The sequence below is a fragment of the Homo sapiens genome, chromosome 2 (assembly GCF_000001405.40).
Source record: "Homo sapiens chromosome 2, GRCh38.p14 Primary Assembly".
In the NCBI taxonomy this organism is placed as follows: Eukaryota; Metazoa; Chordata; class Mammalia; order Primates; family Hominidae; genus Homo; species Homo sapiens.
In genome coordinates, this window is record NC_000002.12 from 111893571 (window position 1) to 111921517 (window position 27947).

At 45.7% G+C, this 27947-nt stretch overlaps 1 protein-coding gene across 1 annotated transcript in view, besides 1 other annotated feature; it reads left to right on the top strand.

The window, feature by feature from the left end:
* Window positions 4176–4505: an enhancer, noted in NCBI's record as "active region_16387". NCBI's record gives its function as "activates an Ori minimal core promoter by ATAC-STARR-seq in GM12878 lymphoblastoid cells {active_cell/tissue: GM12878}" and the evidence as "EXISTENCE:reporter gene assay evidence [ECO:0000049][PMID:35858748]".
* Window positions 5037–27947, top strand: part of MERTK (MER proto-oncogene, tyrosine kinase) — a 130955-nt gene continuing 108044 nt past the window's right edge. Inside the window, exon 1 of the mRNA NM_006343.3 lies at window positions 5037–5226. Coding sequence (NP_006334.2) covers window positions 5166–5226 — 61 coding nt within the window. The 5' untranslated portion in view covers window positions 5037–5165. The remainder of the gene's footprint in view (window positions 5227–27947) is intronic.

A 27947-nucleotide genomic window follows, 5' to 3' on the forward strand; every position in this document is an offset into this window, starting at 1 on the left:
TTGCTTTTCGAAAACAATGAGATAAATGATTTGCACCTGGTCTCAGCGAGACCCCTCCAACCCCTGCCACAGGGCTCTGCTGTTGAGGCTGGTTATGCCTTAAGACTATGCCGATGACCAGCAAAATATAAAAATCCCCAGCTGAGACTCCATTTTCGATCCCATTTCTGAGGTGTTCCATGCACACATCAATGGTTTTTGATCCAACAGAGAAAGTGCATCCTGCCACGTTCCTTACAGAAATTAGGACAAAGGAGCTGGCACCTGGCCTATCTGGCCATGAATAGCCTTTGACTGAGATGCTTATTCTTACTTTACTGCTATTTGCTATATTGTGTCCTCTTACTGTAACAAACTCGAGATGTTGGATCTGGTCAGTAATTTTTTAGCAGTGAAACCGTTTAACTTCCACTTAACGATTATACAACTGGCCGGGCGCAGTGGCTCACACCTGTAATCCCAGCACTTTGGGATGCTGAGGCAGGTGGATCATGAGGTCAAGAGATGGAGGCCATCCTGGCCAACATGGTGAAACCACGTCTCTACTAAAAATACAAAAATTAGCTGGGTGTGGTGGCACACACCTATAGTCCCAGCTACTCGGGAGGTTGAGGCAGGAGAATTGCTTGAATCTGGGAGGCGGAGGTTGCAGTGAGCCAAGATCACGCCACTGCACAACAGCCTGGTGACAGAGCAAGATTCGGTCTCAAAAAAAAAAAAAAAGGCAATTATATGACTGCACTTGTGTATGTGTGTTTGATTCAATATTTCAAATGGTTTACATTACCTAAAATATATGCCCCCAAAGGCCTTAAACCTATACTCCCATTATGTTGTTCAGCACATTGAACAGGGTCTCTTCCATGCACTGTCTGTGTTATGCAAGAAACTACAAGATGCTTGTACGTCCCTCAAGATTTTTGGCATTATGAGTTGACTTTTCTTACGGGCACCATTCCAGTTATCCAGCAAATTTTAAGAACTTGGCACTTACATTTCTAATATATTGCTCAGAATACTGAATGAAGGACAAGAGGTCAAGGGGTTTAGAAGCTGTGGTGTTGAAGTACCATTTATAAGGTACCGAAACTACCAAAAGTCATGGCAGGGATAGTGTAAAGGGAGTGACTGTGATGCAGGCGCTGCATCTTCAGAGAATTAGGAGAGACTCAGGGGTCCCTACGTGGCTGCAGCAAGCAGGGCTGGTCTAGTCTAATGACATCAGAGTCAAAGCCAGAGACTAGAGAGTAGGGACACATAATGGTCTTAAGACAGCAAAGAGAATATCACATCCAGACCCAGGGACAGGGAGGTGAGTGTAGGAAGCATGGTTCACCAAAGGAAAACCAGGGTGCTATTACTAGAGTATTGTGGTATGGATGCTAGCTGCTGGGTGAGTGAGTGCCAAAGTGGTCTGAAGATTGCTTTTTTTTTTTTTTGAGACGGAGTCTTTCTCTCTGTTGCCCAGGCTGGAGTGCAGTGGCACCATCTTAGCTCACTGCAACCTCTGCCTCCCAGGTTCAAACAATTCTCCTGCCTCAGCTGGGATTACAGGCATGCGCCACCACAGCCAGCTAATTTTTGTATTTTTAGTAGAGACAGTGTTTCACCATGTTGACCAGGCTGGTCTCGAACTCCCGACCTCAAGTAATCTGCCCACCTTGGCCCCCCAAAGTGTTGGGATTACAGGTGTGAGCCACTGTACCCAGCTGATGGGATAGAAGATTTCTGAGGGAGGTGAACTGGGGGGTCTACATGGTAGACTAGAGGCAGGAGGGGGAAATAAATTACAGGTATAGCTGTAGACAGAGCTGAAAGGGGTAGGGGACAGGGGTAAGAGGACAAAGAGAAGCAAGGTATGGGTTTAGACATAGGGTCATTGAGGACTACGTCTTCACACATTTCATTTGTGTGTGGCCTGGCGCGCTCCTATGGGACCTTCAATTGGAAGCCTCAAGTCCTGTCACTGATACGTTGAACATGTTTGACAGATAGATTGTGACCACAATGCCACTTTACCTTGGTTACAGCTCTTTCACACTTGAATCAGTGGGGGTAATCTTCCCTAGCCCTTAGATGAACACTGCAGCAGGCCTTTAACATTCTCTCTTTTTCTTAGGTATTAAACAGTAGGGGCTCCTACTTGTAGCACAGAGTCTTAGCTGACACAGGAGACACAGTGGGCATTGGAGAATGGGTTCCAGGTAAGTGTCTTCTTGTTGAAGTTGCACAACAGCCTTGGAACTAGTTATGTAATATGGGGTCCGGGTTGTTTTTTGTTTGTTTGTTTGTCGCTCATATTTTCCTACATGTAGTCTGATCACTTGAATAATTAGGACATTAAATTGCAATATCATTTGGATGCACAAGTACAAAATTAACATTGTAGAGCTGACATCTCACAGTTTAGCTAAATTTTGGCATTTGCAGATTTTTAAAAGCATAACTGCAACTTCTTTGACACTTCTATCTTCAAGAGGTTGGGCTTGAACCTCTATGGCTCCTCCCCATGAGGGTGGGGTTGTGACTGCTTCCATCAAGAGAGTAGGGTGGAGTTATGTGACCTCCGAGGCTAGGACATAAAAGGCCACGAAGCTTCCTCCTTGTTTACTGGAATGCTTGCTCTTGGAGCCCTGAGCTGCCATGCAAGACTTCCAGCTACTCCAAGGCCACCATGGAGAAGCCTAGTTTAGGTGCTCCAGTTAGTCTGCAGCCCTAGTGCCCAAGTCATCCCAGTGCAGATGGCAGCTATGTGAGTGAATGAGCCTTGAGATCGGGGTTAGCCAACTTTTTATCTAAAGGGCCAGATTGCATGGCTTTGTGGGCCACATAATCTCTGTCACAATTACCAACATGAATGACTGTGTTTCGATAACGATTATTTGCAAAAAGAAGCCATAGGCCTGCAGGTTATAATTTACTTTACATGATTCTAATCCCCAACCATTTGAGCCTAAGGTCCCAGGCAGATATGGAGGAGCAAGGACAACCTATTTCCCCTGTGCTCTGTCCAAACCTCCGATCCACAGAATTCAGGAATCTAATAAAATGGCTGACATTTTACTCCCACTATGTTTGGGGTGGTATATCAAACACCGGTAGATAGCTGAAGAGTATTGTACAAGGCAGGCCTCAACAAGAAAGTGAGATTTGAGCTGACTTGGAGGAGAGCCAACTGGGAAGCTGTGTGTCTAGGGGAAGAGCATTTCAGGCAGAGAGAACAGCCAGTGCAAACCTTTGGGCGGAGGAGTGCTTGGTATATGTGAGCAATAGCAAGGAAATTGCAGGAGAACAGCTCTGCCGAGGTGTCCTTGGCAATCTTGCACATCTCTCGAGGCCATGTAGGCAAGGTATGACCACGGTCTGACCCAAGTCTTGTTGGACTGCCCTGTGATTTCCCCTAAAGCAGGGATGGGTAAGCCTGGTGAGGAGCCACTGGTAGGCAGTTTCCTATCCCTACCCCATGGGAGACTGCTGCAAGGCCATTTCTCTTCCTTCTCCAACGTTTCAGTTGACTGCAGGACTTTCCATATCCCTCCCTCCACCGCCCAGCCCGCTTCCCTCCAAGCATACAGCGGCAGGCTCCTGTGAAGTCTATAAAACTGCTTGGTGTAATTTAGACTTGGCTACTCAGCGGCAGGGCTCATGTTGTCTTATTTATTTATTTATTTATTTATTTATTTTTGTTAAATTATGTAGACCCATAGGATAACACTGACCCTTCCAGTTTGGTGTTATCTTGTAGGCCTAAGGATGCATGGAGCTGACACCACACTGATTTTGCTTTTGCTGTCGGTGTAAGTAATAACCTGTCTAAACCCATCTGGGCTGCCTGTCTCCTTCCCGTAGCCAAATCTACGGGAAGTGTCCAGCCAGTGTAGGGGTCAAGGGACCGCTTGACGAGACCAACGTAAATTGAAGAGGCGTAAGGAGATGAGGCCAAAGAGGAAAGGGGACCAGGTCACGTAGAACCTCGTAGACCACTGCAGAACCTTGGCTTACGTACGCAGAGACAGCAGGAACCACTGATAGGTTTAGGGAGATTTGAGGAGAGGGACATGATTTGGCTTATGTTATGTTGTTAAAGGGACCACATTAAAATACATTCATTCTAAAAGTGTTACCTTTAAGAAACTACGTATATAAATTAAGTTACTGTTGCCATTATTAGCGTAAGTAGTTACATTTCTCTTACGACTCACTCTCTGCTACTGCCTCTTGGACCCTGCACACCTTGTGGAGGCCCATGAGAGTGACGTGCTGTGGTTCCCCCTCTCCCCACTCCTGCTCTGCACTTTGTCATTCACGTTCATCTCCCTCCTTGAGTGTCACCTCTCTCTGGCTCGTCACGGAGCCACGGCAAAGCGTCCTTTCCCAGGAACCCCTCCCCCTGGGGAGGTGAGCTCCTCGCCGCCAGGGCCGTGTCGCGCACCTCGGGCCGGGTACCCAGGCGGCGCTCGGCGGCGAGCGGAATGGATGTGGAGGAGCGCTCGGCAGGGAGCGCTGCCGCCCTGGCCTTGGCCTCTGGGAGCGGCGCGGCCAGGGTTTTCTGTGTCAGCCAAGCCCGGAATGCGGGGGCGCCTCTGGACCCTCCTCTTGGGTCTGGGGGCTGCCTCGGGCATCCTCTACTCCTCTCCCACCTTCTGTCCTTCCCCATCTCCCACCCACACGTGTGGGGCCCCGGACCCGCGCAGCGGCCAGAGCCTTCCGCTGTGGACCTCCAGTCCACCCCTCCCCTTCACTTCTCTTTCCGGCTCCCTCCGGGTCTCTCAGCCCCCTCCCCTTCCTCTCCGCCCCCTTCCCCGCCGTCTGCCCAGCGGCGGCCTTCGGCCCGCCCCTTCTCTCCAACCCCCTCCCTTTCCCCTTTACGCCCCTCCTCCCCCTCGTCCTCCCGCCCCCTCCCACCCCAACCTGCTGGGCCCGCCGGGACTCGCCCCCCTGCCCGCTCCTCTCCTCCAGCCCCGGCCGGCCTCGGCTCGGCCCCCGGCCCGCCCCTTCCAGCCCTCGGCACCTCCCGCCGGCCGCTTGGCTCCGCCACTCGGCACTCACTGCCCGGGCCGCCCGGACAGGGAGCTTCGCTGGCGCGCTTGGCCGGCGACAGGACAGGTTCGGGACGTCCATCTGTCCATCCGTCCGGAGAGAAATTACAGATCCGCAGCCCCGGGATGGGGCCGGCCCCGCTGCCGCTGCTGCTGGGCCTCTTCCTCCCCGCGCTCTGGCGTAGAGGTGAGTGCGCCCGGCTGGGGGCCAGGCGAGGGGGTGGGGGCTCCCAGGAGGAAGCAGGGGCCTCTGGGGAGGGAGCGCGTCCACAGGGGCGCGCCTGGCTGCTGGACAAGTTTGCAAACACCCTCCACCCACTGCGGTGCCAGAGGAGGGGGCGTAGGCGAACCTACCGTCCACTGACCGCGGCGCCTCAAGCGTCCCGAGGGCACCCAGCCTGGCTTGCGGGTGCGCATCGTGGTGAAGCCGGGTCGGGGTCGGCGTTGCAGGCTCCCCTCTTCACCGCAGAGGAGGAAATCGAGCTCGGCCGGGCGCGCTGCAAGTCCTGAAGTTCCGACGAGTGGAACGTAGGTAGCAGGTCTGGTCTGGGATGCGACGAGAACTTTCCACTAGAGTTGCATGGTGGGGCCCCGCTCTGGCCGGAGTCCCGGGGGCCACAGATCCGGTCTCCCGAGGGACCGGCGCGGGGCGAACGAACGGGCTGCGGGAGTCGGAGCCGCAGTCCGGGAGCCGCGATAGACTGAGGCCGAGCGACGGGCCAGGGGGGGACGGCAGTCCTGGCTGCTCCCAATGGGCCCTTACGGGCATTATTAGTATCCCTTTTTAGGGGCACCCAGAGAGTGTGGGAAAAGGGGAGCGTTCTTTTCACTCCTGTTATGGCAGAACAGAACTTACAGTGCTCGGCAGCGTTTACGTTTATCTGGATTCAGCGAAGTGTTGTTACAGGCTTTTTTTTTTTTAATTTGAGACCGAGTCTCGCCCTGTCGCCCAGGCTGGAGTGCCGCGGCGCGATCTCGGCTCACTGCAGGCTCCGCCTCCCGGGTTCAAGCGATTCTCCTGCCTCAGCCTCCCGAGTAGCTGAGACTATAGACGCGCGCTACCACGTCCGGCTAATTTTTGTATTTTTAGTAGAGACGGGGTTTCACCATGTTGGCCAGGATGGTCTCGATCTCTTGACCTCGTGATCTGCTCTCCTTGGCCTCCCAAAGTTCTGGGATTACAGTCGTGAGCCACCGCGCCCGGCTTGTTCCAGGCATTTTAATACAAGATGCTGGACTGATACGTGGAGGCAAGGAAGGCCGGTTTCATTCTGCTTGAACAGCTTATTTGGGGAGTGAGTGATGAACAGATTTCAAGTTTGATCGCTGATGCACTTCTTGAGGAGGCTGGAATAAACTTACCAGGCTTTACCCAAAAGAAAAAGAAAGGGGAAAAATGCTAAATAAACACATTCCAAGTATTTTCTCTCAGCTAAAAGGTTTCTATTTCCATTCAGCATGTAGATTTTCTCTCTTTTGATCGAGAATGCACTTGACTAGCCTTCACCTATTACAGTCAAAGATGTTTTTTAGGAATACCTGGAAAGCTCAGTTTATAGTCAAGTAAGTTACTTAAAAGTTTTTCCTTTGAGATTTTCCTTTGAAAGCTCATTTACTCAAATGAAAAATTCTTAAACAGTGCACCCACTTTTTGCACGTTAAATTACATAAGCAATTTATAATTTGGGGCAACATAGCAATTTGAAACAAACTTTAAGAGCCAGGCAAAGAACTAAAGCAGTTCTGTTCTCCACTGCCCCTCCCTCCACCAAACCTTCAAAAATTCCTCAGCATTTCTGCCAGCCCCATTTTTCATAATCTGCTGCAAATCTGTTATTTGTTGCTACTAGTGAGGACTGGCCGTGAATAGTCTTGGAGGTAGTGAATGTGGTGAGAACTATGGAGAAAGTAATGGGAACAATAGTTTTGTGTTAAATACTTAAAAATTGGAGTGCTTTTGTTTTTCTAAAATTTTAAAAGGCTGTAATAACAAATTTTTGTAGCTGACAATCAACTTTAATCAGACAATCATAAAAAGGCCTTTTAAAATCCACCCAGCTGGAAGAATGAAAAGTTTCACCAATCGTTCTTGCACTTTTTGCTTTTGGTTTTGAACTTTACCTATGAGATGTGTGACAGTTTTACATCTCACCTTGTGAAAAGCTTAAAGAATGGGATTCTCACTGGCAGAATTACAGCACAAAGGAGTGCTGTATGAAGAAATTAAACATGGAAATTAGACTCTTCATCTAATTTTAAGATTTTCCTATTACACATTGTGGGTCTGAGTGCTTTGCTGACCACACAGGGGAGACAGAGAGAGAGACAATGAGAATATGTGTGTAGATTCTACACTGTTAGCAGTATAGAAGAATGGGTAAATAAAATTTAAGCATCACTTTAACCCAGGAAATCCCCTCTGCCCCCCAACACACATACACACTACACGTCTCACAAAGACATGCACACACAGAACTGGAACTGCCAAACCAGGAGCATTTCGAGGCTTTCCAGTCTTTCCTTTCTGCTCAGTCTCTGATGGGGGTGCCATTGAGCAGCAAAATGAGGCAAGCGGTGGCTCTCTGAAGGGCCAGGGAGAGGATGGAGCAAGATAAATATAAATGTGGATAAAAATGAATGCATTATGAGGACTTAGCTCATGACGAGGCTGTGTGTGCAGCTAAACTCAACCCTTAGAGTAAATTAGGCTTTTAAGATTCTTTAATGTTAATATTTCTTTTCCAAACTGATATTGTAACATGTATTCCAGTATATTGTAAACATCTTCCCAGAGGGAACTTTTAAGTTGTTCTGTTGCTTGTGGGCTTTATTCCAAAGGCTTCAAATGCTTTTTGAAAGTACATCGTGCATATTTTAAAAATGAATACTTTTAGAAAATTATTCTGACCCATTAAAGTGCTGAGTGGAATTCTTTTCTTTTCTTTCTTTCTTTTTTTTTTTTTTTTGGCAGGTTCTCATTCTGCCACCCAGGCTAGAGTGCAGTGGCACCATCACGGCTCACTGCAACCTCAACCTTCCGGGCTCAAGTGATCCTCCCACCTCAGCCTCCCAAGTAGCTATGACCACAGGCACATACCACCATGCCTGGCTAATTTTTTATTTTTTGTAGAGACAGGATCTCACTATGTTGCCCAGGCTGGTCTTGAACTCCTGGGCTCAAGCGATCTTCCCACCTTAGCCTCTCAGAGTGTGGGGATTATAGGCATGAGCCACCATGCACAGCTGAATACAATTTTTAAAAAATTAACAATAATTATGTTTTTTTGTTTTTGAGATAGAGTTTCACTCTTGCTGTCCAGGCTAGAGTGCAATGGCACAATCTCGGCTCACCGCAACTTCCCGCCTCCCGGGTTCAAGCAGTTCTCCTGCCTCAGCCTCCTGAGTAGCTGGGATTACAGGCATGCACCACCACGCCTGGCTAATTTTGTATTTTTGGTAGAGACAGGGTTTCTCCGTGTTGGTTAGGTTGGTCTCGAACTCCCAACCTCAGGTGATCTGCCTGCCTTGGCCTCCCAAAGTGCTGGGATTACAGGCATGAGCCACCACACCCAGCCAATAATTATATTTTTAAATCTTAATTTTTGAAATAATTTCCAGATAATTGTAGAAGGGCCAGTGAGTTACTAGTCAGCATTGGTCAAGAAGAGGTTCAATCTTTTTATGCCTGTGAATTGGGAACATGCTGCTGGGTAGAAAAACTGAGCTGGGACCTTGAACACACATGTGAAACAGTCGCTTTCCATATAATAGCCAGAATGAGATTTTGGAAACGAATCTGATTGTATTTTCCATTTGAAAATCTTCCAGTGGCTTCCTGTTCCCTACTAGAATTTGCAGAGACTCACAGCGAACCTCTTTGACCCATTTCCATTCACTTCCCTCTTGTTCCTACCACTCCAGCCACCTGTGTCTTCTTTCTAGGGCCTGAGCAGCCTTTGCAGTGACTCTTCCCTCTGGCTGGAACCTTTTTCCCAAGATCTCGGCATGCTGGCTTCTTCTCATCCTTTGGGTTTCAGTTCAGAGGTTCTCCTTGAGAAGCCTTCCCCAATAACCACCCCCTGCCAAAGTATCATATGCATACACCCCACTATCCCTTAAATTTAATTTCCTGATAATGCTTCTCACAACCTGATCAGTTCCTTCCTTCCTTCCTTCCTTCCTCCCTCCCTCCCTCCCTCTATTTCTTTATTGACAGAGTCTTGCAATGGCAAATTCTCTGCTCACTGCAACCTCCGCCTCCCAGGTTCAAGCAATTCTCCTGCCTCAGCCTTCCCAGTAGCTGGGATTACAGGCACCTGCCACCACAGCTGGCTAATTTTTGTATTTTTAGTAGAGACAGGGTTTCACCATGTTGGCCAGGCTGGTCTCGAACTCCTGACCTCAGGTGATCCGCCTACCTCAGCCTCCCAAAGTGCAGAGATTACAGGCGTGAGCTATGGCACCCAGCCTTACCTCTTTGTTTACTCCTTTTCCTCCACTGTCCCCCCACCACAAGGTAAGCTCCTGGTGGCAGGGCTGCTGTCTTTTTCACTGCTAACACAGCATGGAGCTCATACGGGTGCTCAGTGAGTATCAGAGCACAGCATGAAGGAACCAAGCCCCTGCATGTCTTACCAGGTGCTCTTCACCCTTATCTTTTCCTACTGGCTTTTCCAGAAACAGAATTGCTGGAGCTCCCATGCCCTCACATTCGGGGCTTGGTTAATAGAAAACAATCTTTTATTTTGCTGTGATGCCAATGTGATTTCATTGCTGGAGGAGCTAGTCAATTAAAACCAGACAGATTTTTGGGCTGTATTAACCCCAAACATATTTTACATTGTCCTAACTATTCCAACTAGAAAAAAAAATGTCAGAAGGTAATTTTTCATGTTAAACACAGTTCTAACAACTCCTTGCTCAGGGGCAGGTAGCCCTGGGTGCCTTGACTTTGGCCCTTGCCGTTAGTTTAATCTTAACCCAAAGCACATGGCTCTGAATTGGTATGTTTCTCAGCAGGAGATTAATTATTATAAAAACTGAAAGGGGTCTCACACTGTGTGAGGCACACTATGCCTCTGGGGACTGGAATGAAAGTGTTAACCGGGACTGGCTTCTGGGGCTTTGGGGGTGGTGATTAACTTTCAGGACCTCTGTTCCTTTTTGGGTACAGTGGGAGGCTCTTTTCATAGAATTGTTAGGAGGACGTAATGAGCTAATGGCAGGTGATATGTGCTTAAAATATATTTGCCATTATTACCAATGGTTCTCCTCCATTCTTCTGAACTCAAGTATGGGGGAAATGTTTTTCCTAGACAAAAGGTGTTGGGAGGAGGGTTCTTTTCTTATTGAAGTGTATCCTGAATGGTCCACCCTCCATTGTTCAGAATGCTTTGGTGAAGGGGCCCTCCGGTGTCGCCCTAGAGTGCCCAAGTCCTTTGCTGCAGCTCTTTAGGTTTTTGTTTCCTAGTAGTTTGAGCAAAACCCACCCAGGACCAAGCAGTTCTCCAGAGAAGCAGGGCCCGCCCTGACTGCCATTCCCCTCCTACTCCTGCCCCCATACCTTCCCTTATGGAGTTCAAACTTGACATAGTACAGGAATAGCTTCTTGTCATGTGCCTCTCAGGAAGGTATAAAAATGAAGTCCAGTTCCTGTTCAACTTTTCCCACATAACTCTTTTCCAAACTGGGTGTGGTTTAAATTTTTTTATTTTTATTTTTTGTGTTTGTTTTGTTTTAGGGTTTTTGAGTGTGAACATCCAGAAAATTCTTTTTTTTTTTTTTGAGATGGAATCTTGCTCTGTCGCCCAGGCTGGAGTGCATGTGGCGCGATCTCGGCTCACTGCAACCTCCGCCTCCTGGCTTCAAGCAATTCTCTGCCTCAGCCTCCCAAGTAGCTGGGATTACAGGTGCCCTCCACCAGACCTGGCTAATTTTTGTATTTTAAGTAGAGACGGGGTTTCACCGTGTTGGGCAGGCTGGTCTTGAACTCCTGACCTCGCGATCCACCCACCTCGGCCTCTCAAAGTGCTGGGATTACAGGAGTGAACCACCTCACCCAGCTCAGAAAATTCTTTTCCTTTTTACCACATCGAGCTAGGTTTTCCCAATGAGGTCAGTTGGCTGCAACATAGAGAAAATGAGGCTTTGGTTCTTAGAGTAGATTCCGTGTACAGGCGTGAGTATGTGTCCGCAGGTGGTCTTGTAGGAAATGCAAAGGGCGCCAGGTGCACTCCTGGCTTCTGGTACTTCCTGCTTAATGGCATGGGTGAGCCAACCCTCAGGTGCCCGGGAGGGAGCCCTGATTACTCTCCCTCTGGCACTCTGGGCATTGGCTAACCCGTGACCGGAGTTAAACCAGTTCCCTCTCTTTTCATTCTATGTCTCCCACTCCTGCCTCCAGCCGAAGTGCTAAAAATGCAGCCTGGCAGGGGCAGAGAATTCCATTAGGATCAGCAGGCCCCTTTTGGAGAACAAGGATACTAAGAATACCTGCCATCCTGGCACTTCCTCCCTCCTAGGCCTTACTTTTCTCTGTCTGAACCATGGCTGTTGAACTGGGTGATTCTTAGCCACAGGAAGGGAGGGCCTAGATCTTCCCTAGTTTTGTGAGACTCTGCAGCTGGACAGCCATCCCTTCATGGGAGCTGCCACATTTTCACTCTCGGGGCCTCTGACAGGCACTAGGATCTAGGGACATGGCCGGCATGTGAAACCCTGGGCTGCTATGGCCAGGTCACCTCCTCAGGTCCTGGTGTTTCAGAGTGATAAAGAAGAAAGGGTGATTATGTCTCAAACATTTCATTGAGAAACCTACACTGTTCTTTTTTTTTTTTTTTTTTTTTTTGACATGGAGGCTCACTCTGTCACCCAGGCTGGAGTGCAGTGGCGCGATCTCAGCTTACTGCAGCCTCCTGGGTTCAAGCGATTGAACCCAGGGTTCAACCTCCTGGGTTCAAGCGGTTCTCCTGTCTCAGCCTCCCGAGTAGCTGGGATTACAGGCACCCATTACCACACCCAGCTAATTTTTGTATTTTTTAGTAGAGACAACGTTTCACAATGTTGGCCTGGCTGGTCTCGAACTCCTGGCCTCAGGTGATTGGCCCACCTCAGCCTCCCAAAGTGCTGGGATTATAGGCGTGAGCCACCGTGCCCAGCCAGAAACCTACACTCAATTCTAAAGCATTTTATTTCATCCTTCTTGGCTAGTTCTTCAATTATCAGTGCTTCTTTCACTCAATGGTAAATGGATTTTCCATGAGTCTTGGAGGTGGCAGGCAGGGAGAAGGGGCAGAAGGAAAGAGAAAGAGAGAACAGATGTTGGCTTTATGTTTGGAATAAAATTACACCAAAAGCTAAGAACATTTATATTTGTGCTTAGAGAAACCCCATTTCATTTCAGAAGCTCAATGCCTGGATTTTTTTGCCAGCACATTTTACACTTGTATGTTTCTCCTTGTACTCTGTGCCTCCATGTATTTCTGTTGGTCCCTTGAAAACAAGATCCAATCATCACAGGGTTAGTGCTCTGCCCTAGGTCACTCCAGTAGGGGTCCATCCTCCGGATTTAGATCTCAGGTTGGCACTTATGCAAATGCTTTCTGACAGGTCCCCTTTTTTGTGTAATCTGCTTTTTCTTTGAGGATCTAGATACCTCAGCATTCAGGGACAGTAAACATCTTAGAACTTGCCTTAGCTGTGGTCTTGCCTCTCATTAGATACACAAAGAAAAGCCTTGTTTATTTTGGAGAAGGAATTGTTTTGTTATTTTAAGCCTTAGGGCCTTGTGGTTAGAGCTACCAATAGTAGATTGGCTTCATTATGGTTTTGAAAATGATCACTTTCACAAGTAAGAACAGGCTGTCTTAGTGGAGAATATTAGAACAGAGACTCAAACTTAACTGAAAGTTGTTTTCTGTCACTGTGCCGCTTAGGGAATTCTCAGTGCGGTGATAAATATTCATGGACTTCCCAAGTGTTGTGTGTGCCTGGAGGCCAGTTTTTCACTTGTTCCAATTAACGGCAGGCTGCCTCCACACAGGAAGTGAAACCAGCCTTTAAGCCTTTTTACAATTCTGGCACATGATTTGAAGATTTGGTGATGAAAGCAATGTTCTTTGAAAGTTTTGGAGCAAATAAAAAAAAGAAGCTTTTTAGATTCACTCTTAGTTTAAAAAATAACCACTTGGGGAGTTGAAAGATGTAAGTTCTCATCCTAGCTTTGAGAGGAACCTGCAGGGACAGCTGGGGTATAGTGTGTCCTCCTTCTAAAACTCCACATCCTCACTTGTCAAATGGGAAAGCAGATGGATGATTCTAGGCCCCTTTGGGGCAGAACACTGATTCCATCTAAAGGGGAGAGGTGGGAAGGGATACTTTCTCCCATGCCGTTTGGGACACAGAGCCTCAGCCTGAGTTTGACCCTCAGCCCTGTGCGTGACTCTCGGTGTGAACTTTCTTAGACATCAGCCCAGAAACGGAGATGGAGGCTGTGTGAAGAGTTTCATTAAAAATGAGTGATGCAGCCAGGTGCGGTGGCTCACGCCTGTAATCCCAGCACTTTGGGAGGTCAGGGTGGGTGGATCACCTGAGGTCAGGAGTTTGAGACCAGCCTGACCAACATGGTAAAACCCTGTCTCTACTAAATACAAAAAATTAGCCAGGCGTGGTGGCGCATGCCTGTAATCCCAGCAACTTGGGAGGCTGAGGCAGAAGAATCACTTGAACCCAGGAGGCGGAGGTTGCAGTGAGCCGAGATTGTGCCACTGCACTCCAGCCTGGGCAATAACAGTAAAACTCCGTATCAAAAAAAAGAGTGATGCTAGTGGGTTCTTTGCTGTTGACAGTTGCCATTCCCTGCCACCTGGGCTGTCTGTTCCTCCAGTAAGTACCCCCTCCAACTCTGGGGCAATAGAATAGTCTGGAAACATGGAGGTATATTTCTGAGAATATTGGATCTCCCCAAACACATATGACCTCTTCCTGCTAAATCTTCTGAGAGACAGAGGGATGGACTAAGCTTTTTCCGGGGTGGATGGAGTGGGGCATATCCCCCCTGAGGGGGAACAGCAGAATCTTCAGGATCAGGGAGAATGATGTCATTTTCAAAAGTTTATTCATTCAATATTATTATGTCATTTTATAATTGGAAATTTAAAAAATATTTTGTGATATAAACTGTAGAATGCAACGCTCTTAAATATTCTGGCTGGGAAGATAAGGATAAAGACAATGATTCATGACAGGGGTTCTCAAGAAGAGGTATGCTTCAGAACTACCTAGGAAGCATTTTCGCAAGGTAGAAGCTCAGGTTCCCAGGACCCGTGGACTCAATCTTTGGGGCTGTGGCCCTGCCTTGTGTATGTCCAAGCTATTCTGTGCCACCTCTTTCGTTACACTCCACTGATGCAGTATATCTGATGTCTGATTCTTGGGCAGTGGTGGGGAGCCTCTCTCTATTACCCCATCCCAGGAGGGGTATGTATCAGAACCTGGCCATTGAGGGTAGGAGTAAGCTAATTATGCTTATCCAAGGGAGGTGGCAATTCCTAGACAAAGTGAGAATGTTGAGCTGGATGATTCATTAAGCCAAGTGCCCTTAGGATTTTAGGACCTGTTGGTGGAAAGAGATACAGCTAATCAGGTGGGCCAACCAGTAAATAGTAAGGCCTTTCCCTTTTTACCATTATATTTTTTCCTCTCAGCTACTCTTTATACTCACATCTTATTATAAAATATTTAGGATACACAAAAGGATTTAACAGGTAATAAAACTCGCCTGTGTACTCACTACTTGACGTAAGAAGTCAGACATTAACACTACAGTGGAAGTCCCCGGTCGTTCCTCTCTCCAGTGTCATCCCCTCACTCCCACCCAGAGAAAACCATTATCCCACATTGGGTGTTTCAATTCCCATGCATGTCTTTATCCTTTGATCATGATTGACATGATTATGTTGGTAACACTCTATAGTGTTGTTTTGCACCATGTCAGTTACATTTGATTGCATATAACAGAAAACCTTACTTCAGTGGTGTAACCAAAATGGGAGTATTTTTCTCATACAACAAGCAGTCTGACAGCAACCAGGTTGGGATTAGACAGTGGCTCCATGATAAAGTCAATGACCTGGCTCTTGGCTCTGACATCTATAGTGTATGCTTTTAGAACACATTGTTCCTTAAATGGCTGCTGTGCTTCTGGGCATTTCATTTGCATTCCAGGCAGAAAAAAGCAGAAGGGAAAAGGACAAAAAGTCTCATACCAGCTGAGTCTGTCCTTTTTATCAAGAAGGTGACTGGAACATCTCAACAGCAAAAAACAAGCAATCCGATTAAAAAATGAACAAGTGATCTAAACATATTTCTCAAAAGAAGAAATACAAATGGCTAACAGATAAATATATGAAAAAATGCTTAACATCACTAATCATCAGGGAGATGTAAACCAAAATTACAACCTGGTTTCATTTCATTGCATTTAGGATGGCTATGTCAAAAAGGCAAAAAATAACAAATGCTGGCAAAGGTGCAGAGAAAAGGGAACTCATACACTGCTGGTGGGGATTTAAACTATCACAGCCACTATTGTGGCAGGCCAGGTCTCGGTAACGCAGGCCTCTGTAACAACTGTTTCAGCACTGAGTGGTTAAGTTAAATATTAAAAGCTAATAGAGCCGGTGCCCTCATACAAAGGCTGGAATGTAATGAAAGCCCACCAGAAGTTTTGCCCAGGCCTTTCCTGGGCCTTGACTCATGACAAGATAACAAAGGAATTCTTAACAGGCCTCATTTAGGATTAAACAAGTTTTACTGGGGATCTTAAGAAATTCCCCAGACCTCCACAAACAAGTTTATTGGGGGTCTGAAGGAACTCCTCAAACCTCCATGATTTAGCGGGAGACAAGATAATAAGGATAATCACCCCAGCACCTGGATTCACTTAGATTAAGTACATTTACTGAGGCTCCAGAAGAAGGTCCTCAGGACTCAGACCTTAGTTATAGATTAGAAGAAGTTAATCACTTATGTCTTTAAATGAATGCACACTTCCATGTAGACATATAGCTTAGAAGGTATATAATCCCTGGAAAACGTAATTTTGAGTTGATGTGGTGATGTTTTCCAGGCCTTCTCCCTGTACCCAGGGAGAAATAAACTCCCTTCTTTCCCAGTTCATCTGCATCTCATTATTGGGCATGAGAATAAGCAGCCCAACCCTCAGTTCGGTCCGGGAACACTATGAAGAATGGTATGGAGGTTCCTCAAAAAACTACAGATGGAACTACCATATGATCCTGTAATTGCACTACTGGTCATTTATCCAAAAGAAAGGATATCAGTATATCAAAAAGACATCTGCACCCTCATGTTTAATATAGCACTATTCACAATAGCCAAGCTAAGGAATCAGTCTAGGTGTCCATCAACGGATGAATGGATAAAGAAAATGTGGTATAAGCTTTGGCAACATGGCAAGACCTGGTCTCTACTAGAAATAAAAAAATTAGCTAGACATTGTGGTGCATGCCTATGGTCATAGCTGCTCAGCAGGCTGAGGTGGGAGGACTCCTTGAGCCCAGGAGTTTGAGACTGTACTGAGCTATGATTGCCTTACTGCACTCCAGCCTGGGCAACAGAGTGAGACCCTGTCTCTGTTTTTTGTTTTTTTTTTTTTGAGACAAAGTCTCGCTCTTGTCCCCCAGGCTGGAATGCAGTGGCATGATCTCAGCTCACTGCAACTTCTGCCTCCTGGGTTCAAGTGATTCTTCTCCCTCGGCACCCCGAGTAGCTGGGATTACAGGCGCCTGCCACCACGCCTGGCTAATTTTTGTATTTTTATTTGAGATGGGGTTTCACCATGTTGGCCAGGCTGATCTCGAACTCCTGACCTCAGGTGATCCACCCGCCTCAGTCTCCCAAAGTTCTGGGATTACAGGCATGAGCCACCTCACCCGGCTGACCCTGTAACTTAAAAAAAAAGTGTGTGTGTGTGTGTGTGTATATATATATATATATACAAATGGAATACTATTAAATATTTAGCCATAAAGTAATGAAATCCTGTCATTGGTAGCAACATGGATGGAACTGGAAGACATTTGGTTAATTAAAACAAGCCAGAAACAAAGTTAAACACCACATGTCCTCACTCATAGGTGGAAGCTAAACAAAAAAGTTGATTTTGTAGAAGTAAAAAGTAGGACAAAGGTTACTAGGGCCTGGAAAGGATAGGAGGAAGGGGAGGATAGGAAGAGATTTGTTAAAGAATTCAAAATTACAGCAAGATAGGAGGGATAAGTTTAGTGTTCCATAGCACTGTAGGATTACTATAGTTAACAGTAATGTGTAATGTGCTCCATAGATATGTACAATTATGTTAATTAAAGCAGCTTTTAAAAAAGAAGGTGATAACTCAATACGAAGCCCTATGCTATGGACTTCAGCTAACCTTTCCCTGATTATTCCAAGCTGCCAGGAAGAGTGGCAAGTCAAGTGTGCTAGCTGGGCAAGTTGCCACCCTGAATGAGATTGGGTCCCCTTTGTGGAAACAAGGGGAAATGGGTGCTGAGCAGGACGCTAGCAGCAGCTTACCACATACATGTTATAAAATTTCATATAAATAGTATGCTTTCTTCTTCAGCTTGCTTTTTCACTGTTTGTGAAGTTTGCTAAATTCATCTGAGTTGAAAAGTGTAACCTTTGTTCATTTATCTTCATAGACAAATATGTAAATATACCATAGTTTTATTTATCCAATCTCCTCCTTTTGTTTTTTTGTTTTCTTTCTTTTTTTTGAGACAGAGTCTCACTCTGTTGCCCAGGCTGGAGTGCAATGGCGCTATCTCAGCTCACTGCAACCTCCGCCTCCTGGGTTCAAGTGATTCTCCTGCCTCAGTCTCCCGAGTAGTTGGGATTACAGGTGCACACCACCATGCCCAGCTAATTTTTGTATTTTTAGTAAAGATGGGGTTTCACCATGTTGGCCAGGCTGGTCTTGAACTCCTGACCTCCAGTGTGATCTGCCCGTCTCAGCCTCCCAAGTGCTGGGATTACAGGCATGAGCCATAGCGCCCAGCCTTTTTTTTTTTTTTTTTTTTTTTTTTTGAGTTGGCTGTTGCCCAGGCTGAAATGCAGTGGTGCCATCATAGCTCACTGGAGCCTAAACTCCTGGGCTCAAGTGATCCTCCCACCTCAGCCTGTTGAGTAGCTAGGACTACAGGTGCATGCCAACACAGCCAGCTGTTTCTTAACTTTTTTGTAGAGATGAGGTTTTGCCACATTGTCGAGGCTGGTCTCTAACTCCTGGGGTCAAGTGATCCTCCTGCCTCGGCCTGCCAAAGTGTGGGGATTACAGACATGAGCCACTGTGCCTGGCTTCCAATCGCTTTATTTATTTATTTATTTATTTATGACGGAGTCTCACGCTGTCACCCCGGCTGGAGTGCAGTGGTGCGATCTCGGCTCACTGCAACCTCCACCTTCCAGGTTCAAGTGATTCTCCTGCCTCAGCCTACCAAGTAGCTAGGATTACAGGTGCCCACCACCATGCCCAGCTAATTTTTTTTTTTGTATTTTTAGTAGAGATGGGGTTTCACCATGCTGGCCAGGCCGGTCTTGAATTCCTGACCTCATGATTTGCCCACCTCGGTCTCCCAAAGTGCTGGAATTACGGGCATGAGCCACCACACCCGGCCCCAGTTGCCTCTTAATGGGCATTTAGGTTTTCCTGAATTTTTCTATTACAAACAACGTTGCCATGAACATTATTCTTTTCTATTGTGAGGTTTCCTTTGCCATAATTAAATGTGCAGATTTTAAGTGTGGAGTCTGATGAGTTTTAATAAATATAGGTATCAAAACCCCTATCCAAGTTAAGAGCCCTTAACCTTCTTACATGTCTCCCTATGGACATGTGTGAGTCTAGGAGTGGAAACACTGAGTTGTAGGTTATATGCAATTTCAGCCCCATTATATGTTGCCAGTCCTGCACATCTTATAGGCAGGTTATTGCCATGGGAGATCTGGACTAAGATATTTCTTCCCAAGAGTACTCTAAACAGATCTGAGAATACTCCTCAGGGCAGGTTGCAACTAGATTGTGAAGTGAGTGATGCAACTGGCTCTTTCGCCACTCATGCTTATCATTCAGTGCCCCATCCTCACCCTTGGCTGTCACACACTGGAGCCTTCCCTCAGTTCAACCCTCAGAACCACCTGCAACCCAGGGCTCAGTAGCTGGGGCTTGTATGTGGACTGCAAGGTTAGGGTAGTTGGTGGCTGTGAGAAGCCCTCTTCATTCCTTCCTAGCCATGGAGAGCTGGGCAAGTCGTTTAGCATCTGGGAACCTCAGGATCCTCATCTATGAACTGGGGACAATTCCAGTGATACACCCTTCACAGGATTAGAGAAGACTGTCTAGGTAAAAGGCCTGGCGAAAGGTGAAAAAGTTTCTGTGTGGGTTGATACAGGTACTGGGTCCTTTGCTTTTTACCCAGTAGAAGATATTGAACATAGATTTGTAACATTGCTTAAAGGACCTCTATGCCAGGAATCAAGGACAAAGGCCAAATATATACTTTGAAATTATACTACAATCTGTATATCAATTTGGGGAGAATTGATATTTTTTCTAGGTTGAGATTTCCAATTTATGAACACAGTATATCTCTCCATTTAGTTATATCTTCTTGTATTTCTTTCATCAGTGTTTTGTTGTTTTTAGCAGAAGAGTTCTGTATGTGCTTTGTTAGATTTATACCTAAGTATTTCACCATTTGGAGTGATTGTAAATGGTATTGTATTTTTAATTTCAATGTCTATGTGTTTATTGCTTCATATGTAGAAATACAATAATTTGTATCTTGCAACCTTGATAAAATAACTTATTTGTTCCAAGGAGACTTTTTTATAGATTCCTTGGAATTTTCTTTTTTTTCTTTTTCTTTTTTTGAGATGGAGTCTCACTCTGTCACCCAGGTTGGAGTACAGTGGTGCAATCTCAGCTCACTGCAACCTCCGCCTCCAGGGCTCAAGCGATTCTTGTGCCTCAGCCTCTGGAGTAGCTGGGATTACAGGCGCATGCCACCACCATGCCTGGCTAATTTTTTTGTATTTTTGATAGAGGTGGGGTTTCACCATTTTGGCCAGGCTGGTGTTGAACTCCTGACTTCAGGTGATCCACCCACCTCAGCCTGCCAAAGTGCTAGGATTACAGGCATGAGCCACTGTGCCTAGCCTTCCTTGGAATTTTCTATGAAGATAATCATATCTGCAAGTAGCAATCCTTTTATTTTCTTCTTTTCTGATCTTTTCTTTCTGATGTGTTTTACTTCTTTTACTTGCTTTATTGCATTGGTTACAACTTTCAGCACGGTGTTGAATAAGAATGGGGAAAGCAGATATCCTTGCCTTGTTCCCATCCATTTTTTTTTTCAGATCTTTATTAAGTTGAGGATGTGCCCCTCTTTTCTTTCTTTCTTTCTTTCTTTCTTTTTTTTTTTTTTTTTTTTTTGAGATGGAGTCTCCTCTGTCACCCAGGCTGGAGTGCAGTGGCACGATCTTGGCTCACTGCAACCTCTGCCTCCCAGGTTCAAGTGATTCTCCTGTCTCAGCCCCCAAGTAGCCAGGACTACAGGTGTGCACCACCACGCCCGGCTAATTTTTGTATTTTTGTTTGTTTGTTTGAGACAGAGTCTTGCTCTGTGGCCCAGGCTGGAGTGCAATGGTGCAATCACGGCTCACTGCAAGCTCTGCCTCCCGGGTTCATGCCATTCTCCTGCCTCAGCCTCCCAAGTAGCTGGGACTGCAGGTGTGAGCCACTGCGCCCGGCCTAATTTTTGTATTTTTAGTAGAGACAGGGTTTCACCATGTTGGCCATGCTGGTCTTGAACTCCTGACTTCAGGTGATCTACCTGCCTTGGCCTCCCAAAGTGCTGGGATTACAGGCATGAGCCACCATGTCTGGCTTCTTCCTAATTTTCTTAGAGGGTTTTTTTTCCCCCATGAGCGAATATTGAATTTTGTTAAATGAACAATATGATCATGTGATTTTTATTTTTTTAGTCTGTTAGTATGCTGGATGACATTGTCTGATTTTCAAATACTGAACTAGCTTTCTATCCATGGCATAAATTCCACTTGATTGTGGTATATAATTATTTTTATATATTGGTGAGTTCTATTTGTTGATATTTTGTTAATAATTTTTTTGTGTTTATATTCATGAAGAATGTTGATCTGTTTTTTCTGTATTTTTGTCTGGTTTTGGTATCAGAGCAATACTAGCTTCATAAAATATATTAGGAAGTTCCACCCTCTCTTCTAATTTCTGAAGGAGATTATGTGGAATTGGTGTTAATTCTTCTTTAAGCATTTGGCATAATTCTCCAATGAAACCATCTGGGCCTGGAGATTTGTTTTTCGGTAGTTTAAAAAATTATGAATTCAATTTCCTTAATAGTTATAGCCTGATTCAAATTATCTATTTCATGTGGGGTACATTGTGATAGTTTATGTTTTTTGAAGATTTAATTCACTTCCTCTATGCTACCAAATTCATGTGTGGTTATTTGTACTATTCACTTATCCTTTTGATGTCTGCAGAGTCTATGGTGATTTCCCCTGTTTTATTCCTGATATTAACAATTTGTCTTCTCATTTTTTTCTTTGTTGGTCTTGTTAGAGGTTTGTTAATTTTATTGGTCTTTTCAAAGAATTTGTTGTTTGTTTCATTGATTCTGTATTGCTTTTTTTTTCATTTTCTTTTTTTATCTATTATTTTCTTCTTTCTGCTTGTTTTGGGTTTATTTTGCTCTTTCCCTGTGTTCTAAACTTAAATGATGGATTTGAGACTTTTCCTCTATTTTAATACTATAAATTTTCCCCAGCACTGCTTTAGCTGTATCCCACAAATTTTGACATGTTGCGTTTTTATTTTCATTTAGTTCAACGTATTTTTTAAAATTTTTTTCTTGACACTTCTTTGACCCATGGACTATTTAGAAGTTTAGTTTGCGGCTGGGCGTGGTAATCCCAGCACTTTGGGAGGCTGAAGCGGGTGGATCACCTGAGGTCAGGAGTTCGAGACCAGTCTGACCAACATGGTGAAACCTCATCTCTACTAAATACAAAAAATTAGCCAGGCTTGGTGGCACGTGCCTGTAATCCCAGCTATTTGGGGAGCTGAGGCAGGAGAATCACTTGAACCCGGGAGACAGAGGTTGTAGTAAGCTGAGATTGCACTATTGCACTCTAGCCTGGGCAACAAGAGCAAAAACTCCATCTCCAAAATAAATAAATAAATAAGTTTAGTTTGCAAGTGTTGAGAATTTCTATTGTGTTTCTGTTATTAATATCTGGTTATTTCCATTGTAATTAGAGAACATAGACTATATGATTTCAGTTATTTTTAATTTGTTGAGGTTTGCTTTATATCATTGATCTTCGAAAGAATGTGTATTCTATTGTTGGGAAGAGTGTTCTATAAATATAGATTATATTTTTTTCTTTTCTTTATTTTTTTGAAACAGGGTCTCATTCTGTCACCCAGGCTGAAGTGCAGTGGCACTCTGATGGCACCATCTTGGCTCACTGCAAGCTCCGCCTCCCGGGTTCAAGCAATTCCGCCCACCTTGGCTTCCCAAAGTGCTGGGATTACAGGCGAGAGCCACCGCGCCTGGCCCTTCAAGTTCCCTTTTAGCCTTGCTTTCTTTCTCCTCTCCTTTCAGGACTTCAGTGATACGGATTTTAGATCTTTAATAGTAGTCCCAGAGACTCTATTCATTTTTTTCAGTCTCTTCTCATGGTCAAATTGAATTCTATTGTTTTGTTTTTAGTATACCGATTCTTTCTTTTGTTCCCCTTTCATTTTACTGTTGAACTTATCCATTGAGTTTTTAAATTTTTGGTTATTGTATTTTTTTAGTTCTAAAATTTCCTTTTGATTTTTAAAAAGATCTTCTATTTCTTTACTGAGACTTTGTATTTCTTTGCTGTGGCTTTCTGTTTTTTCATGTTTCAAGCATGTTCATAATTGTTCATTTAAATATTTTTATGATTGCTTCTTTAAAAGATTTTTCAGAAGATTTGTCATTTTGATGTTGGCATTTCATTCTGCTTGAGATCAGTTTTATTTATTTATTTATTTTTTTGGCACACAGACATTTTGAGACCCTGGATCTTAGTTTAGTCTTCTGTTTTACCTGTTTTCCTCTGACTTGCTCTGGCTGGGGAAGAGGGCATGCTGCCTCGTTGCTGCCAGGTAGGGGTAGAATTCTAGGTTCCTCACTCAGCCTCCATTGACATCTGAGTGTGGGGATATCTTCATTACTGCTGGTCAGAGGTCAGGTGGCAGTTCCGGCTCCCCACCAGGCTTCCACTGATACCTCTCTGGCTCAGAGGGGTAGAAGTGCCTCATTTCTGTTCCAATTCTTCCCCACCTGGCCTCCCCAAACACTAGAGTAGGGGGAAGGATGGCCTCCTTTCTGGTTGGCAGTGAAAGCCCTGACTTTCTGCAGGCCCCAGATACTGCCCCAGTAGGGAGGAGGAGAGATGCTTCATTGCTTCATTAATGCTGGGTGGGGATGGAAGGCCTGGCTCCCACATGGTCCTCACACCAGTCAGTGGGGCTAGACATCTTAGTTCTCTACTTCCTCTAGGCCCTTTCTGACGCCACCCTGGAGGGCCACTTGTAGTACTTCTCTATAGCTTGGTGAGGGTGGAAGTCTAGATTTCTCACTTGACTTTTGCTGGTGTGGATGGGGACGGGGCCGTGATGTGTTTTGGGTTGCTTGCCTGGAGTAGAGCAGTTTATTGTCTAAAAGTTTTCTGTCTGGCTGGGCTGCCCCTTTCCTTGTCTTTAGCTCCTAGTCTAGGACATATGGGGCAAAAGGAAACCGATTTGTTCTTGAGTCCTGAGGTTCCTAGCCAGTCTGCCTGCTTCTCTCTACCTTTCAGAGTTTTGTCTTGTTTTTTAAAATTATGCTAAAAGACGAGGCCAGGCGCAGTGGCCGACGCCTGTAATCCCAGCACTTTGGGAGGCCGAGGTGGGCGGATCACAAGGTCAAGAGATGGAGACCATCCTGGCCAACATGGTGAAACCCCGTCTCTACTAAAAATACAAAAATTAGCTGGGCGTGGTAGCGTGCGCCTGTAGTCCCAGCTACTCCGGAGGCTGAGGCAGGAGAATCGCTTAAACCTGGGAGGTGGAGGTTGCAGTGAGTCGAGATCGTGCGACTACACTCCAGCCTGGTGACAGAGTGAGACTCTGTCTTAAAAAAAAAAAAAAATGCCAAAAGACACATAACATATAATTTACCATCTTAACCATTTGTAAGTGTAGAGCTCAGTGGAATTAAATATATTCATAATGTTGTGCAGTCGTGGCCACCATTCATTTTCATCCTGTAAAACTGAAACTCTGTAACCATTAAACACTAATTCCCCATTCCCTCTCCCCTTAGCCACTGGCAACCACCATCCTATCTATATTCTGTTCTATGTGATTTTTGACTACTCTAAGTCAGAGTTTTGAAAATGCTTATTTAATATCTAGTGTTCTGGGGTGTACTTAGTGGGAAGAATAGGGAAAAGTACATCTAGTCTGTTTTTGGAGGGGATTCTTTGTTCTCTGTTACTTAGGGAGGACTTTAACAAACTTCTTGCTAACAGGTCTGGTCTTCCGGAGATAGTCACATTTTAAAAGAAAATTGTTTTTTCCTTAAGGATCGGCTTTTTAGTAATAGTAATTTACGTACTGGTAGGCTGGAGTATATGTTTTGGGAGTGGCATGATGGAAAAGTTAACATGAACTGAGCATCTCATCTGGGTCTTATGAAAGCCACAGTTGGGCCTCCGGCAGTATCAACCCCAGACCCCCAGAGGGGAAAGCCCCTTTGAGACCCTGGCCAGACAGTATTGCCTCAGAGCCTTTCTGTGACAATTGGCATGCTGCCAGTGGAGAAAGCAGAGGGAAACCTTTGGTTAAGTAAACATGATATTGTATACAGTATTCATATTTCATTGCAAGAGTTGAATGGTCTGAGTCAGCATAATCAGTTCCATATGTTTGGCATTGATAGTCCAGGCATGACTAGTTGCACCTTTGAAACAAGACAGATCAGATGTTTCATGTTAGGAAAATAATAGCTGCCATTTATTGCATGTCTGTGGATGCCAGACACTGTGCATTGTTTCACGTGCAATATTCCACTCTTATCTTGGAGAGAAAACAGGTACTGAAGTAGAGAATTCAGGTACTGGTGAGCTGGAGGGTATGTTTTGGGAGTGGCATGATGGAGAAATTAAACTTGGGGACTCAGCATCTCTTCTGGGTCTTGTGAAAGCCACAGCTGAGTCTTGGGGAGAATCAACCCCAGAGCCCCAAAGGCTGGAGGGAAACTGTCTCATTTTACAGAAAGAGGAGAGTGAGTTTTGAATGGACAGGTGACTTACACAAGGTCACCTGGCCTCTACGTGGCTGAGCTGGGGCTATGCCTTGTCCCTCTGACTTTAGGGTTCTTGTTCTCACCCCACCTCTCCTGCAGCCTCCTCATCTCCTAAAGCACGTGCAGTCAAACCTGGGCCCTCTGCATGAGGATTTGCGAGCTCCATCCAGGCCATTCAGTGCCCCCCATCCCTGGCCTTCCGCAGCCCCCTGGCCCACCTTAGAGTGATCTGTGCCACTGAATCTATTCCCTAAAGTAGGGGTCTGACCCTGGCTGCACATTAGAATCATAAGAGGAGATTTTTTTTTAAATCCCAGTGCCCAAGCTGCACCCTGAGCCAATAAATTCAAGCCCTGGGTGGGACATGGGCATCAGAAGCTTAAAAACATTTCCTGGAAGATTCTGATGTTCCGCTGGGTTTGACAGCATAGTGGGAGAGTTGGAAGAAGATAGTGAAAAGTCGAGGTCAGATTCTGGAAGGCTCTTTTCTGGTTGCATTGGTGCCCCCCATGGTAGGGACATGGACATTGCAGTCTGTTTGGGAAGCTTCTTTTGCAAAGCACCACCAAGAAAAAGGCAAATGCCCCAGTGAAAAAGTGGGGGACAGGCTGAAAGGGATGATGAGAGGGTACCTAAAGCCCTTTGGGGCCCTTGGGGCTTGCCCTGCTAACATGTGTGTTCAAGGCCAAGCAGAGAGGTACCTCTGCTCATTTTGTTTTTTGATGTTTTTTCTTTTTCTTTTCTTTTTTTTTTTTTTTTTGAGCCAAAAGGAATGTATTGGGCCAGGGGCAGTAGGAAGGTCACCCCACTGATAAGCAAGCCCCTTGTGCTTTTGCTCAGATGTCTCAGCCCCTTCATGCTGCAAGCCTTGGTTCAGAGAGGTTGGATAGCTTTCCTGGTGTGCCAGGTCCCTGTTTGCCCCTCCAGACCCACTCTCCATGCTGCTCTAAGCCCCAAGAAGCAGCCTGTGGGAAGGGCAACAATGAAATCCCTAGTGCTGTGGCTCCAGCTGGTTTTGACTAAATGATACTAAGTTATATTTGTTCCTCTAAGTAAATCCGGGGTGTTCCCATATTGGTTGCTTATCTGAAATTCAGGTGTAAAGGGCTGTACTGTTTTTTATCTGGCAACCCAATGCCAACACCGTGTTTTACAGGCAACTTCACGTTCCTTCCACCGTGCAGGCATTTCTGGGCTTTCACTGGCACTTGGGCTTTTCTCCTCCTGTGGCTGGGCTGTGACCTCTTGGGGCACACACTGCCCAGCCATTTACTTCCTTTCCTTCCTGCAAGCGCCAGGCCTGTTCTCTCCAGCACTGACTCAGAGCCAGCCACCCGCTTTCTCTTGCAGGGCTTTGCTACACTTAGGGCAAATGGGTGGCGTGATCGCCTCTTCCTCCTTTAACATTCTCCAAGTGGCCCAAGGGTCACTCCAGTGAAGTTAATAATTACCATTTGCAATTTAGGACTGATCCATCAGGTCAAGTGAGTTCTGATTGAAGGTTGTTTTTTTTTTTTCTTTTTCTTCTAATGAAGTGTTGCTACTCTGTTTGTTTGTTTTTCTTCTAATGAAGTGTTGCTACTCTTTATTTTATTTATTTATTTATTTATTTTCCGAAACAGAGTCTCACTGTGTTGCCTACGCTGGAGTGCAGTGGCGTGATCTCAGCTCACTGCAACTTCTGCCTCCCGGGTTCAAGCAATTCTCCCTGCCTCACCCTCCCGAGTAGCTGGGATTACAGGCGCCTGCCACCAGGCCTGGCTACTTTTTGTATTTTTTAGTAGAGACAGGGTTTTGCCATGTTGGCCAGGCTGGTCTTGAACTCCTGACCTCAGGTGATCTGCCCGCCTCGGCCTCCCAAAGTGCTGGGATTACAGGCGTGAGCCACTGCGACTGGCCACTACACTTTATCAATCAGGAATCCTTTGGGTATTGCATAAATAGTACTAAGTAGAAAATTTCCTTTTGTGCTATGTTTGGCCTCAGCTAGCTGTGGGGGTAAAGGGAGTGGGGTGGGAGTCCTTAACCTGGGTGACAGGGCAGCTGCTCAGGACATGATTCAAATATCAGCCTGGTGTGTGCACACAGAATGTGGGGTGGGGGCACTGGTCTAGGTTCTGCGTTTTCTCCTAGAGAGGGTAGGGAAACAGGGATACCAGCATTTACAGGATTCCAGATGCAAAAGCCTTTCTCTGAACTTTGGGAGGTGAAGGCGGGCAGATCACCTGAGGTTAGGAGTTCGACACCAGCCTGACCAACATGGTGAAACTCGGTCTTTACTAAAAATACAAAAATTAGCTGGGCATGGTGGTACCTGCCTGTAGTCCCTGCTACTCAGGAGGCTGAGGCAGGAGAATTGCTTGAACCCTGGAGGCGAGGTTTGCAGTGAGCTGAGATCACACCACTGCACTCCAGCCTGGGCTGTGACAGACTAAGACGCGATCTCAAAAAAAAAAAAAAA